The sequence below is a fragment of the Homo sapiens genome, chromosome 20, assembly GCF_000001405.40.
Source record: "Homo sapiens chromosome 20, GRCh38.p14 Primary Assembly".
NCBI lineage: Eukaryota > Metazoa > Chordata > Mammalia > Primates > Hominidae > Homo > Homo sapiens.
Window position 1 is genome coordinate 1,558,002 of NC_000020.11, and position 13,233 is coordinate 1,571,234.

At 45.2% G+C, this 13,233-nt stretch overlaps 1 protein-coding gene and 1 long non-coding RNA gene across 7 annotated transcripts in view; one reads left to right on the forward strand and one right to left on the reverse strand.

Annotated features, from left to right (window-relative positions):
• The first annotated feature begins 5 nt into the window (after positions 1–5).
• On the forward strand, positions 6–3,536 carry LOC107985409 (uncharacterized). Of its 3 annotated transcripts, XR_007067492.1 has the most exons (4): positions 6–123; positions 272–420; positions 2,544–2,664; positions 3,451–3,536. It is a non-coding gene; the product is annotated as an uncharacterized LOC107985409 (long non-coding RNA). The 3 variants fall into 3 exon arrangements; XR_007067493.1 differs by lacking the exon at positions 272–420; XR_001754461.2 differs by lacking the exons at positions 6–123; positions 272–420 and adding an exon at positions 908–996.
• SIRPB1 (signal regulatory protein beta 1) overlaps positions 3,384–13,233 on the reverse strand; it is a 58,625-nt gene continuing 48,775 nt past the window's right edge. For 2 of the 4 annotated variants that reach the window (NM_006065.5, XM_005260641.4), the window contains exons 4-6: positions 12,804–13,136; positions 8,152–8,266; positions 3,384–7,496 (exon numbers count right to left, since the gene is read on the reverse strand). In NM_006065.5, the coding sequence (NP_006056.2) occupies positions 8,154–8,266; positions 12,804–13,136 (446 nt within the window). In that variant the 3' untranslated portion in view covers positions 3,384–7,496; positions 8,152–8,153. The remainder of the gene's footprint in view (positions 7,497–8,151; positions 8,267–12,803; positions 13,137–13,233) is intronic. The other 2 variants (NM_001083910.4, NM_001330639.2) reach the window with 1 other exon arrangement.

A 13,233-nucleotide genomic window follows, 5' to 3' on the forward strand; every position in this document is an offset into this window, starting at 1 on the left:
ACAAAGGCCTCATCCACATGATGCGCAGGTATGGGTCTAGCTCCTGCATGAGCTCAACATCTGGGCCTGTCTGAGCTGCACAGCTGAAGAAAGAGACAAGATGTCTATAGCCTCACCCACTTGGTAAGAGTTGGACTTTACAATGGATGCCCTTTCTTGCACTCCAGAGTAGTTAGAGGTAAAAAACAAGCAATATCTGCTGTGGGCTCTTGGCTTTTCTGTGGGTCCCTCCATACACTACCAGGAACTGCTTCCTTTTTCCTTCCTGCAGAGGAATCAGGCATGGCTGAGAAAGACATTCGAGTTGTGCAGGTGGTGATGATTTGTGCTTTAGAGGATGGAGGAGGCCTGCAGGGAAGGCGGAGCTGCGGGGAACACTCTCTAGGAGGGAGAGTAACATGCCTACAAACACCTGGGAAGGTGAGGGCTGCCTCTCCTGCTTGGGCTGGACCTGGGACCAGCTCTCAGAGATGGGATTGGAGGGGCAGAAGAAATGCCCCCAGAAAGAGGGAGGAAGCAGCATGTTGGCATCCTTCTCTCTCAGCTCTGGAATGGGTTCTTCCTAAGCACAAATGTTGTGTTCAGGGACACTCAGCCCACACTCAGCTGGTGACCCTTTAATGTCCAAGCATCCACAGGCAGGCACTGGCTGCCATGGCTGTTTCCCCATTGCCTCCTCATGACTTCTGCCTCCTCCTCAGGAACCAGCTAGATGTCAGGGCCGGGAGAGGTGTTAGACCCTCTAGGAAAAGAAAGCAGAGCCAGGCTGGCACGTTCTCTCTGAGACGACAAGAGTCCCCATCCCCTTGTGATGTCATCATCCTATCCCGTTGTTCTGAAATGATGAATTCCACAAAGGAATTCCTATCCATGGCCCCTGCTTGGAACTAGACAGGAACATTCCTCCAGCCTCCATCATCCTCCCCTTCCCCTACTCTGAGGAATCTTCTCACCTTTCATTAGACTCTAAGTTCCTTGGAGAGTCAGTACTCACGGGTCAGTATCCAAGAGTGCCAGCTTTGGAATCAGATATAATCTAGGCTAGAATCCTGAACGCACCTCCTAAGAGCTGAGTAATCTTGGGCCCATGATACAGACCTGTATATTCTGCAACCTTCTTGACATCTTCATTTGTATATATATATATATATGTATTTTTTTTTTCGAGACAGAGTTTCGCTCTTGTTGCCCAGGCTGGAGTGCAATGGTATGACCTCGGCTCACTGCAACCTCTGCCTCCCGAGTTCAAGTGATTCTCCTGCCTCAGCCTCCCGAGTAGCTGAGACTACAGGCGCCCACCACCACGCCTGGCTAATTTTTGTATTTTTAATAGAGACAGGGTTTCACCATATTGGTTAGGCTGGTCTCGAACTTCTGACCTCAGATGATCCACCTGCCTCAGCCTCCCAAAGTGCTGGGATTTCAGGTGTGAGCCACTGAGCCTGGCCTCTTTGTATACCTTAAATATTCAAGTTTGAGTTTCAGATCTGCACTCACAAACCTTATCTTCTCCCACACCATGCCTGTTTTGTATATGGTACCATCATCTAAGCAGTTTGTCAAACCAGGAAGGGACTCATGTTCTATACCCTCACTTATCCACTTGTTACCAAGTGAAAGGGGGTTGCTGCCTGATGTGCTAGAAGCCAATACTGTGACACCAGGCTTTTGAGAAAAGAAAAGCTTTTTATTGCAAGTTGACTAACAGGAAGACAGAAGTCTACCTCAAATCTAGCTCCATGTGCTGGCTTCAAGGCAGTAGTTTTATTAGCAAAAGTTTAGGGGTTGGATTCTGGGATTAGTATGTGATTTGTGAAAGGAAAGGGGAGGTCTGGAAAGTCCTTGGGCATGTACAGTTATCTCTCTATGCCTCTTCACGGCTCCCATGTGCAAAACCCTGGGGCGTCATCATGAAATACGTGGTAGAAACTCAGGCTGTGACATCAGCAAGCTCATTCTGAGCAAACTCCAGTTGGCCATATTGGTTCCAACAGATTTTAGTCAGTTTTGTTATCCTACAAGTGGAGGAAGTTTCGGCAGTTTAGCAATTTTTTTTTTTTCTTATCTGCTATCCTGTAAACTCAAGAATTTCTTAGTGACTGGTTTCTTTAACTCTTTGGGGGCATAGTTTCACACTCCTATCTTGCCCCTACCAGGCCCTATTGGATTTACCTCCTAAATCCCTTCTGAATTAATCTCTTTCTCCATCTCTATCATCATCTCTTGCCTGAATAAGAACAATTGCCTTCTCACTAGGGTACCCCCATTTTTATTTGCCCCCTATAATCTCTTTCTCCTTCTTCAGCCAGACTGGTCTTTTTACAACATAGATTTAATTATGTCCCTCTCTTGAATAAACATTTTTGTGGATTCTCATTAATCTGGAGGTACTATAAACAAGGCTTTCTTCTGTGACTGACTTGCTCCCTTAGAGATGAAGGGATCCCCACCTTTCTGATACGTAGCATAGCTTCACTGTCCCAGGTTGGGTTCCCTGGGAGACAGACTCTGGGGTGAAGATGAACAAGCAGGTTATCTTTCAGGGAGTACTTTTAGGATCAACACTTGTGGACGGGAGAAGATGGAAGCAGGACTGGGTAGAAGAAGAAGCTGGGCTGCAATGAAGTCCCATTGAAGACCTCAGCTGACCTTGCATGGAGCCTGGTACTAGGATATTCCTCCAGAGTTGCTCTGAGTTAGGATAAGAGAGCTGGGCCTTTATACGACTAGGTTGATGAGTCCAATGAGATGTGGTTTGTTACCAGATACGACCTAAGCAAGGGCACTCCCTTCAGCTGAGACAATCGCAAATAGAGCTGATGCTGAGGACCATCTCCACAGCCAGGTGCCTCTCAGCATCCATTACACAATTCATGGGAACAACTTGTTCCTGTGAAGACTTGGGCTCAGGACATTATTCACTCACTCATAGTCAGGTCCTCAAAGCTATCCCAGCTCACCCACATAACCCAAAGTTTTCTGATCCCACTTGGTCTGACCTGGATTTTACTAATGGGAAAAGTTTAGGGTGAGCATCACGGGGGATTGAGAAGCCACTTCCTCTGGGATCTGAGTGCCTAGATCTGGGGTGAGCTCTGGTAGTGGACAGAGGAAGGACGAGAGGAAAGGAAACCTCAGGCTTTTGAAGTGAGATAAAACTTTGGAATATCAACAAAGTCTCCCTACCGCACATTTCCTTGCATTGTTCCCCACGGGGTACAAGAGGCAAATAAAACCTAGCTGAGGACAAGACGTTAATTTTTTCTAATAGACTTAATTTTTTAAGGACAGCTTTAGATTTACAGAAAAATTGAGCCCTATCATTAGCATCTTACATTGATATGATACATTATTATAATCAATGAACCAATATTGATACATTATGATTAATCAAAGTTCATAGTTTATTTAGATCTTTTCTTTTTACCTAATGTCGTTTTTCTCTTCCAGCATCCCATCCAGGATACCTGTTACATTTACTTGTCATATCTCCTCAAGCTTCTCTTGGCTATGACAGTTTTTTAGACTTTCCTTGATTTTGATGACCTTGACAGTTTTGAGGAGTTCTGGGCCCGATGTTGCAGAATGCCTCCTTATTGAAATTTGTCTGATGTTTTCCTCATGATTAGATTGGGGTTGTGAGTTTTGGGGGGAAGGTAATAGAGGAAAAGTGTCATCTTCATCACATCATATTAAAGGTACATATTAGTGACATGATTTATGATTCTTGATGTTGATTTATAACTGTTGATGAACTCTTGATCACCTGGCTGAAGCTGTATTTGTCAGATTTTTCCACTGTAAAGTTATTTTTTCTCCTTTTTTCCATGCTGTACTCTTTGCAAAGAAGTCGCAGTGCACAGCCCACACTTCAGGAGTGGAAGTTATGTTCCACCTCCTTTAGAGTGGAGTGTATAAATAAATTATCTGGGACTCTTCTGCACTGGAGATTCTTCTCTTCTTTCCCATTAATTTATTCAATCATTTATTTATATCAGTATGGACTCAGATATTTATTTTATACTTTGGACTATAACTCATTACTACTTTACTTATTTTTTTGCTGAAAGTGTTCCAGCTTTGGCCTTTGGGAGCTCTTTCAGTTGGTTCCTGCGCCTCTTTGATGTACTCCAGTCACTGTGGGTTTTGGTTTTGGGGTTGACTTTTTTTTCTTGTTAGCACTTTCTTACTTTCTAGAGGATGTTGAATTTTTGATGGAATGTTTTAAACAGAAAGAAGAGAGAGTAGTCTTTAAAGAAAGAGCTTGAGAATACAGCACACAAGCCAAGTGATCAAATGAAGAGAAGTTTTCTTTTGAAATCCAACACCTAGTAGAAACCAATGACCTCAATGATGTATTCACTCATTTAAAAAAATTGACAGCCTATTATATGGCAGACACAGTTCTGGCAACTGAGGATACAGATAATCCTCCCCCACCCCCAACCCCCCACGATATAACTGACATTCCATTTGCGTAACATAGATAAATACAGGCAGTTCTCACTTTGGTGATGACATGCATGCATTTCTCTTACCATAGTTTAGTTAAGTAACATCAGTCCCACAACACAAGTCTCAAAATTTAGGTGCCATAGTAAATTTAATGTAATTTGCATAGAGTACAAACTTCTGGGCTAGCTCTTCAGTCCACAAATCACCATGGTAATAAAAGCTCGTCATGATCAGTAACCAGTCATGTTGTGTCTTTCAAAGTCTGTTGGTGATTGGTCCCTATGGCTCTCCTACTCAAACAGCAAATCCTATAGTTGGGTTGCCTCCTTGCCTCCCAGTGATGAGCCCATATGACATTTTACAGAAATGAATAATTGAAAGAGGAATTTTGCAACCAAGATGAAAGTGCAGTGAAGAAATGAGAAGTGAAAATGCTGCAAGTGAGGTTCAAATTGAATGTGAGTGGAATTCTAGAAGTACAAATAGTTGACTGTGGCAATGTAGACCCTGATGCAGGAACTTCAGATAGGCAGCCAGAGGGAGGTAGTAAACGCAAACTGCCACAAATGGGAGAGGAGTGGTAATAAAAGGGCTGAAGATGTCCCAAAGGTTGAAATGCCAGCAAAAAACTTCACATGAAAGGATCTTCTGGAGTGATTCCACAATATTGAAAATTCAAGGGATAAGATGTTGGAAGCTAGTCCAAACTTAGAAAGATGGCAAAACACCAAGGTATAATAGAAATGATGCTTGCTGGCTAGGCATGGTGGCTCATGCCTGTAATCCCAGCACTTTGGGAGGCCAAGACAGGTGGATCACCTGAGGTCGGGAGTTCAAGACTAGTCTGATCAACATGGAGAAACCCCATCTCTACTAAAAATACAAAATTAGCTGGGTGTGGTGGTACATGCCTGTAATCCCAGCTACTCAGGAGGCTGAGGCAGGAGAATCACTTGAACCCTGGAGGCGGGGGTTGCAGTGAGCCAAGATCACGACATTGCACTCCAGCCTGGGCAATAAGGGTGAAACTCCATCTCAAAAAAATAAAAATAAAATAAACAAATGAAAAGAAACAATGCTTGCTCCGTGTATTAGCCCATTCTCACACTGCTATAAAGAACTACCAGAAACTGGATATTTTATGAATAAAAGAGGTTTAATTGGACTCACAGTTCCACAGGCTTAACAGGAAGCATGACTGGGAGGCCTCAGGAAACTTACAACCATGGTGGAAGGAGAAAAGGAAGCAGGCACCTTCTTCACATGGTGGCAGGAGGGAGAGAGAGAGAGAGAGCGAAGGGGGACTTGCCACACACTTTCAAAAAACCAGATCTCATGAGAACTCACTGAGATCTTATGAGAACTCACTATCACAAGAACAGCAAGGGGGAAGTCCGCCCCCATGATTCAGTCACCTCCTACCAGGCCCATCCCACAACACATGCAGATTACAATTTAAGATGAGATTTGGATGGAGACACAGAGCCAAACTATATCACTCCATATTAGAAATATACAAAAAAAGGCAAGCACTCTTCCAACTACTCTGGATACATTTTTACAAAGAAACAGCACTTGAACTCTCAATGTTTCTAATGCTTTGAATTGTAGTGCACAAATAAATATTTATTTCATTATATTTTCATTGTCCTCTACATTTGTAACTGAGAGTGTGAGAGTTTCTAATATTTTGACAAAAAATGGTAAAGGTCACAGAATGATCATTGTTTTTCTGATTGACTATGGAGACTGCTTTCCTGGGTTTCAGGTTGCACAGTCATTTTTGCAATCTTGCACTGCCATGAAAAGTGAGGGCTGCCTGTATTCGGCATAATACTCATCAAAATAAGGGCTAAAGAAAAATTAATTAGGATAAGAGAAATTAGAATGCCGGGATAGAGAAAATAAATAATATTTTATACAAGGTAGTTTATAGAAGGTGCCTTTAATGAAGTGACATTGAGCAGAGACTTGAAGGAGGGAGAGCGGGAGCCATGCAGCTGTGTTGGGGAAGAAGCAGAGAAGTGATATGATTTGACTTTTCCAAAGAATCACTGTGGCTGAAAAATGAAAGCCAGAGGAGTGGTCCCCAAAGAGATGATGCTGGCTGGGACAGGGAGGGGTGGTGGAGGTGAGAGGTGTGGAGAATAGGGATTTAACTCTGAGGTTTCCAGCAGCAGGCTTGGACTGGGCCCTGAAAACCAATTGTTAAATTTCAGGAATCTTGCAATCTGGTTGTTTAACTGTTGGCAGTGTGAAATTGGTCAGGTTGGGAGTTATTACACTAGAGAAATTGGCAAGCACTGCAAAACAGCTTTTGGTTTTTCCCTTTCAGAAAGTCCATTGTTAAACATTTACCATCTCATGTAAGTGGACACATGCATTTTGGAGGCAGAACTGAATATGAGTTGTAAAGGGCAGTCATCGAGGGCTCCTCAATGTTGGGCTGTGGCAGCATTTCTACCACAAGCAGCAGGACTGGGAAGGCTGCAGGATACTAGAAGAAATACTGTCTCCATCACAGAGAGAGAAGGGAGAGCTTCTTTCTTTTTGGGTTTGAGGGATAGGATGCTTGGACAAAGAGGAAAGAGAATCATTTTTTTCTTAAAATTGGTATAGGGGTTCATGTGTATTCAGGAGGCAGTAGAGAACCTCAACAAGGCTGGGGGAGTTGGGGTAGGCAGGAATCCAGAAGACAGGATAACTCTTGAGAGCCTGGAGAGAGTCTGTGGTTTATGGCCAGTCCCAAGGCGACGGATGGGAGAAGTCCTGGTGTGTTTAGATTTGGAGTGTTTCTCACCTTCTAGGGAGGTGCCATGAGTCAGTGCCCAGAGCCCAATCCCATGGCCCCTGCTCAGGACCGTGAATAGAGACACTGCTTTGGGGCATCATGGTCTTGTGAAGGTGGAACAGGAGCGTGTGGGCAGGCAGATGACCTGGGAGAGGAGGCGTTTGGAGCTGAGTGTGGGGAAGGTTCTCGCCAGCTCCTTCTCTCAGGCTGAGCTTCTCAAGAAAGGAGGAGGCAGCAGAGACTGAGGGTCCTACATGGCAGGGAAGGAAGGAAGGAGCTGTTGGAAAACACATCCACATTCATTCATCTGCTCATCATTTAAGAAATGTTTCCTGAGAGCCTGATATGTCCCTAGTGCTGGTCTCCTCTTGGGATGCCTGTTATGGGTGGACAGGCAGACCTGAGATAGGACTCTGCCAGCTCAGCACTTCTTCCAAGTCCTGATGCTCCCTCTTCCCCGCTTTCCACTCAAGCACACAGAAGGTCAGAGCAGGAACAGCCCTCAGAGCAGCCTATCTGGGAATTCTCAACACTACGGTGGGGATTACTTTGAACCCATGGAGTCCCAGCAGTGGCCTCCAAGGGACCACCCACTCAGTTGGCCCTCACTTAGACCCCTCTGTCCACCTTTTCCATGGGACTCCTAGGCCACTGGGGACAACTTTGAACCCCCTTGAAGCATCCCACCTCCTGTAATACCCTTGACCATCCCAACTCCTGCACACTCCCTGGGGGTTGGGAGCCCCATACAGGGTTCCCTGAGACTCCTGAGTATCCTGAGGGAGCCCTGTCACCTTCTGTAAACTCCACTGACCCTGAAGCTGCATGGCATGTGAGCTGGGCCCTCCTGCTGGCCTTGCCTTTCTGGAGGAGCCCTTGGTCAGTCCTCCCTCTCCTAAACTTACAGTCAGGCCTTCTGTTTCCAGCAGATGTAGATGGCAGAGACACCAACCACCAGTAGCAGCTTGGGGCCCAGGAGGAGAGCTACGAGGAGTGGAGCAGTAGGAGCCAGCGCTGCTTCTGGAAATCAGGGAAGAGGAGGAGCCATGAGAGGGGCCACCTGGGAGCTCATCCCAGGGGCCTCCACTTACCCCATCTGAGGCTACCTGGGCCCATCAATCCTCTGAAGCTTTTGAACTTGCATCCTGCTCTGGCTTTCCTGACTCCAGCCGAAAGCAAAGGCCAGGGAAAGTGGCTCCTCATTCTCACTCACCCTGTCCCAGGCTGCCAGTTTATCCTCCTGGAGGGAAAAGGTGGAGAGAGTGTGTGCTCAGGTATTCATATATGTGGCAACTGGGTTCCTCACTTGATCCTCACACGCCCATGGGGCAGGGATTATTATTCCATTCTGATGGGGAAACTGAGGCCAGAGAGTTTAGGGAGTGTCAGGAGATTAGTAGGATCCAAACCTAGGGAAGCCCATCATTATGTCCCCAAGGGTGACTCCTGAGTCCAAGACAAGTCCAACACTCCAGGATCATGAGAATGATTAGTAAAGGGTGGGCAGGTGGTGTGAGGATGGATTCAGAGTGAGAGAGTTGCATGCTGCCCTTCTTAGCCCCAGGGGCAGGGAGAGGACCCCATATTCTCATGATCTCAGGGAGCCCTCCAGGGACAAGACCCAATTAAACCTGCTGGCTGGAAAATTCCCTGGTGAGTCAGGGAATGTGCCTCGGGCTTGGAAGGGCCTCAGACATCATCTCTCCTACCTCAACCCCAGTGCAGATGTCATCTGAAATCTTTCTGTTGGACACAGAGAGTCAGATCTACGGAAGCTCATGTTGGGACTGTTTGCATTTTTTAAATAAGGGGTTTTGGATGTTAAAAGTAACAAAGGTATTAAAAAAAATTTTTTTTAAAATAAAATGGTGCTGGTGGGTCCTTAAGGAAGGAATGGAGACCTCAGCATCTATAGCCGCTGGAGTGTTGGAGTGTTGCAGGCCGGCAGTTCTCAGATGGGTGGCTCTCTGGGGCTTTCTCTCCTTTGAGGAGAGCTGCACTGCCCAAGTTTATTCCTTCTAAGGGGCAGCCCACATGAGAGATAGACTGCATTGGGAATATGAAGGGCCAGCCCTTCCCCTCAATTTGAAAAAAATCTACAGGACCCTCCGGCCTTTTGCCTCTCTGCAAGAGCAGCTGCATCTTTGTACTGCCTGCACTGTGGCTCAGCACCTCCCTCCTCCTACACTCCTGCCTCCTCATTCCTGAGGCATGTTGACCCTGACAGCACTCTAGGATGCCTCCTGCATTGCTTTATGCATCCTCAGGTGGCCTCCCAGAGAAACTGTCCTTGGGAAGTGGTCTGGAAAGAAGACTCTAAAATATAAGTTGGGAATCTGATTACTCATCAGCTAGCAATGAGGACCCCAGGGCTGGTGGTGAATGGGACTGGAGAAGCCGTGACTTGCTGTTGTGTTGCGATTGATAACACTTTCACTGGCACTAAACTGGGATAGTGTTACCACAGGAAGGAAATTCCTTGCCATTAGCCTTTTGAAAACAGATTGGGAAATGGTCGTTATAAGAACTAAGGTGTTAGCTGTTGCTGGGCATGAACTCTTGGGAGGAAGGCAATGAGAAACTAAGAGTGATTCATCATGAGTTAAAGTTCAGCTGGAAGCCAGAGGACTTCTTGGCAGCACTGCAGATTCTTATTTCTTGGAGCCACAGGGCAGAAGGAATAGAGAATTGGGTCCTGGGCATCATAGAAGAGTAGCAGAATCACAGCGGAGCATGAATCTCAGTTTCAATGGCTGCTATGCTGGGATAGGGCCCTGATGGGGAAGTTGTGGGACCCTGAAATGTGGAAGGAGACATTTGGGTCAAACCACTCAAAGATTGTCAGTTGACTTCAGAGTTACTGGGGACAATTGCAGTGGCATCGCTACTTGTCGCTATAAATATCCTCCCCAAGCCAAAAGAAGAAACAGAAAAGGAAAAGTAAATTCTACACAATCCAGGCCCTAAATATTGCTTGAAGAGAGAATGCCAAACTGCAAAATGGCTGAGTCAAAAGGGAACACTCACCTAACCCTAGGGCACAGTCTCTCACTAGGCTCCCATGCCACTGATGCAGCACGTCACAGAAGGCATCCTGCAGTTTGCCTGCCAGCCTAGACAACCTAAAATGCATTTCCAGACTTAGCATATGTGCCAGGATGCCATGTCAGACACACTGAAAGAACCCAAAAATGGCAGCCCTCTCTCAGCCCCAGTGGGTGGTTGGAAGTCTAAGAAAAGACTCAACCTTGTCCAGATGGTACAGACTCATCTCATCCTGTGCCTCCTTGAGAAGTACAACTATGAACCCAAGAAATATCATGAGGAGCAGGCATAGGAGAACTTCCAAGGTGGAAGAGCGAGGTAAGAACCTGAGGACTGAGGAACAGCCCAGCAGCCAAACAGCAGGGACTCTATGCCCAAATACCAGCCCCCAGCCACAGAAAGTGATGAAGGGAGGACATAGAAAAGAGGAGGTCTCAAGTCAATAAATATAAATCCCGCACTTAAAGAAACTACAAAAAGTAGGGCAAAGTAAACCCAAAGAAAGCAGGAGATAGGAATTAATTTAAAAAAAAAAAGAGAGAAGAGAGCAGATAATTAATGAAACTGAAAACACAAAAACAATACAAAAACCCATTGAAACAAAGAGTCAATCTTTTGAAAACACCAATAAAATGGGAAAAAACTCTAGCATGACTGATGAAAAAGAAAAGAGAAATGACACATTTTTAGTATCAGGATGAAACGTGGGATACCATTGCAGACCCTGCAGACACCAAAAGGGTTATGAGAGGATATTATGAACAACTCTACACACATAAATATGACAACTTAGATGAAATGGACCAAAAGTTATGCAAAACACAACTTACCAGGGCTCACTCAATAGGAAACGAAAAATGTGAATAACCCTAAACTATTAACGACATTGAATCTATGATTATAAAATATCCAAAAATATCCCTGGGGCCCAGATCTTTCAAAGGAAAACACAAGCATTTAAAGATAAATTAAAACCAAATTTAACACACAGGAAAATGGTTCTAAAAAATTTGGTAAAATGTGAATGTATGCTCCATTTTAGATGATATGAGGAAATTATTTTAATAACTTTATGAAATTTAGTGATTTGAACACTTAAAATTTAAGTGGACAATGACACTGGTTTTGTGAAAAATGTCCTTGATCACATGATCCCTCAATGTGCAACTGCAGGTGCATGCGTGAGCAAGTTTTCAGTGGACGTGACTATGCACCTTCCACACATCTCTGATGATTGGGGACATTGTTTGTCTTCTATTTCGTGTCTTTCCTCTTCTGGCAGGCAGGGACATGAACAAATCCGTGACTCAGCACTGACCCAGGAGATGACGCAAACATCATAGGGTGTTTTGGAAGGAACCTGAGTCCTTATTCTTATTTCCTGGAGCCTCAGGGCAGAAAGAATAGAAGATTGGGCCCCAGCCATCATTAGAAGAGTAGCAGAATCACAAAGGATGTTGAATGTCAGCTTTAATGGCTTCTATGCTGGGGTTGGGCCCTGATGGGGAAGTTGTGGGACCCTGAGATGTGGGAGGATGTATTCGGGTCAAAGCACTCAAAGATTGTCTTTCGACTGGAGTAGAGGGACCCCTCCTGGTATTAAAAGAGAGGGAAATAAGACATATTTTGGTTATAGAGAGGGGGAACACTGGCCAAATTTGGGTCCTTGGGACAAAGCGCAGCAGAAAGGGAAAGTTTCTCTAATTAGCACAAATTCCCATTATAGCCTGGTAGTGAGCCTGTCCTCAGGGACTAGATTTACCTTCATTACTTTGGACCAATAACCTGGTCTAATGACAAGAAGTCTTCAACAACATCCCTCATTACTTCCTAAGTCCTGGTTTCCCCTTTGGTAAAACTCCAAGCTCACTGGGTGTTTGAAGCAGGAAAGGAGATCAGAGATGAACAGAAATTTGCATATAGTAAATGTGCAGAGTGGTTGTGATTATTGTTGGTCAAATATCACCATCAGAACACAAAAGAAGCCTGTGCTGTGACCAGGTCACCTGGGGGTCTGTCCAGGCTTAAACTTCACTTGTCTTTCTGAAATTTATAGAGCAGATGCTGGAGACTGGTGGCTGAGGTCACAGATGCGGATGGAAAAGTTTAGGATAGAATAGGGACAAGGTAGAGGTTAGAAAGTGTAAAAGGCAAGGTGCTGTGCTGGCGAGAAATGCAGAAGAAGGCGAGACACAGGACTTCATAAACAAACGGATCACCTCCCTCTCTCTTTTTTCCTTTAATGTATATTTATGTCAAAATATCTATCAAGTTGTGCATCAGACTTGACGCACAGTTTCTCCTGGTAGATGGGGCTTAAGGGTGTCTACAAATGGCCAATTGTTACCTTGAACCTTCTAAGTAGTGGTGACCCATGGAGTGTAGGATTTTAATGTAGACGTTAAAATTCTACTTTATATTTATAGACTTCTAGCTTATTTTATGACAAGCATGAATATTGCTTTTAACATTAAAGAAAAAGACAAAATTTAAAAATGGGAAGTAACCGCACCATGGGTGATATCTGAGCCGTGCTCCTTCTGGTGCGCTGAGATCTCCAGGGCATAGCTTTTGCTGACTGCTTGCTGCCCATCATGCTCCACCTGACAGGTGAGCACCACATCGTCCCTGTGGGCACAGGTGTTCACCAGGAGCCAGCTCATCCAGTTGTAGGTGCCATCCTTGTTCTCTATGAGGGTCGAAGCTGTTTCTGTCCGGGACACATTTCCATTCTCCAACCAGGTCAGCTGTAGTCCCCGGGGGTAGAAATTGCTCACCTGGCAGGTGACGTTTGCCTGGTTCTCTGCCCTCATGGGCTGTTGAGTAACCTCCAAGGTGGGTGGAACTGAAACAGCACAGGGCAGAAGCTCTGATCTTGTGGCACAGACAGATCACAGGGAGGGCTAAATAACGTAGCTCCCACCAACACAGTGAGGGCATCA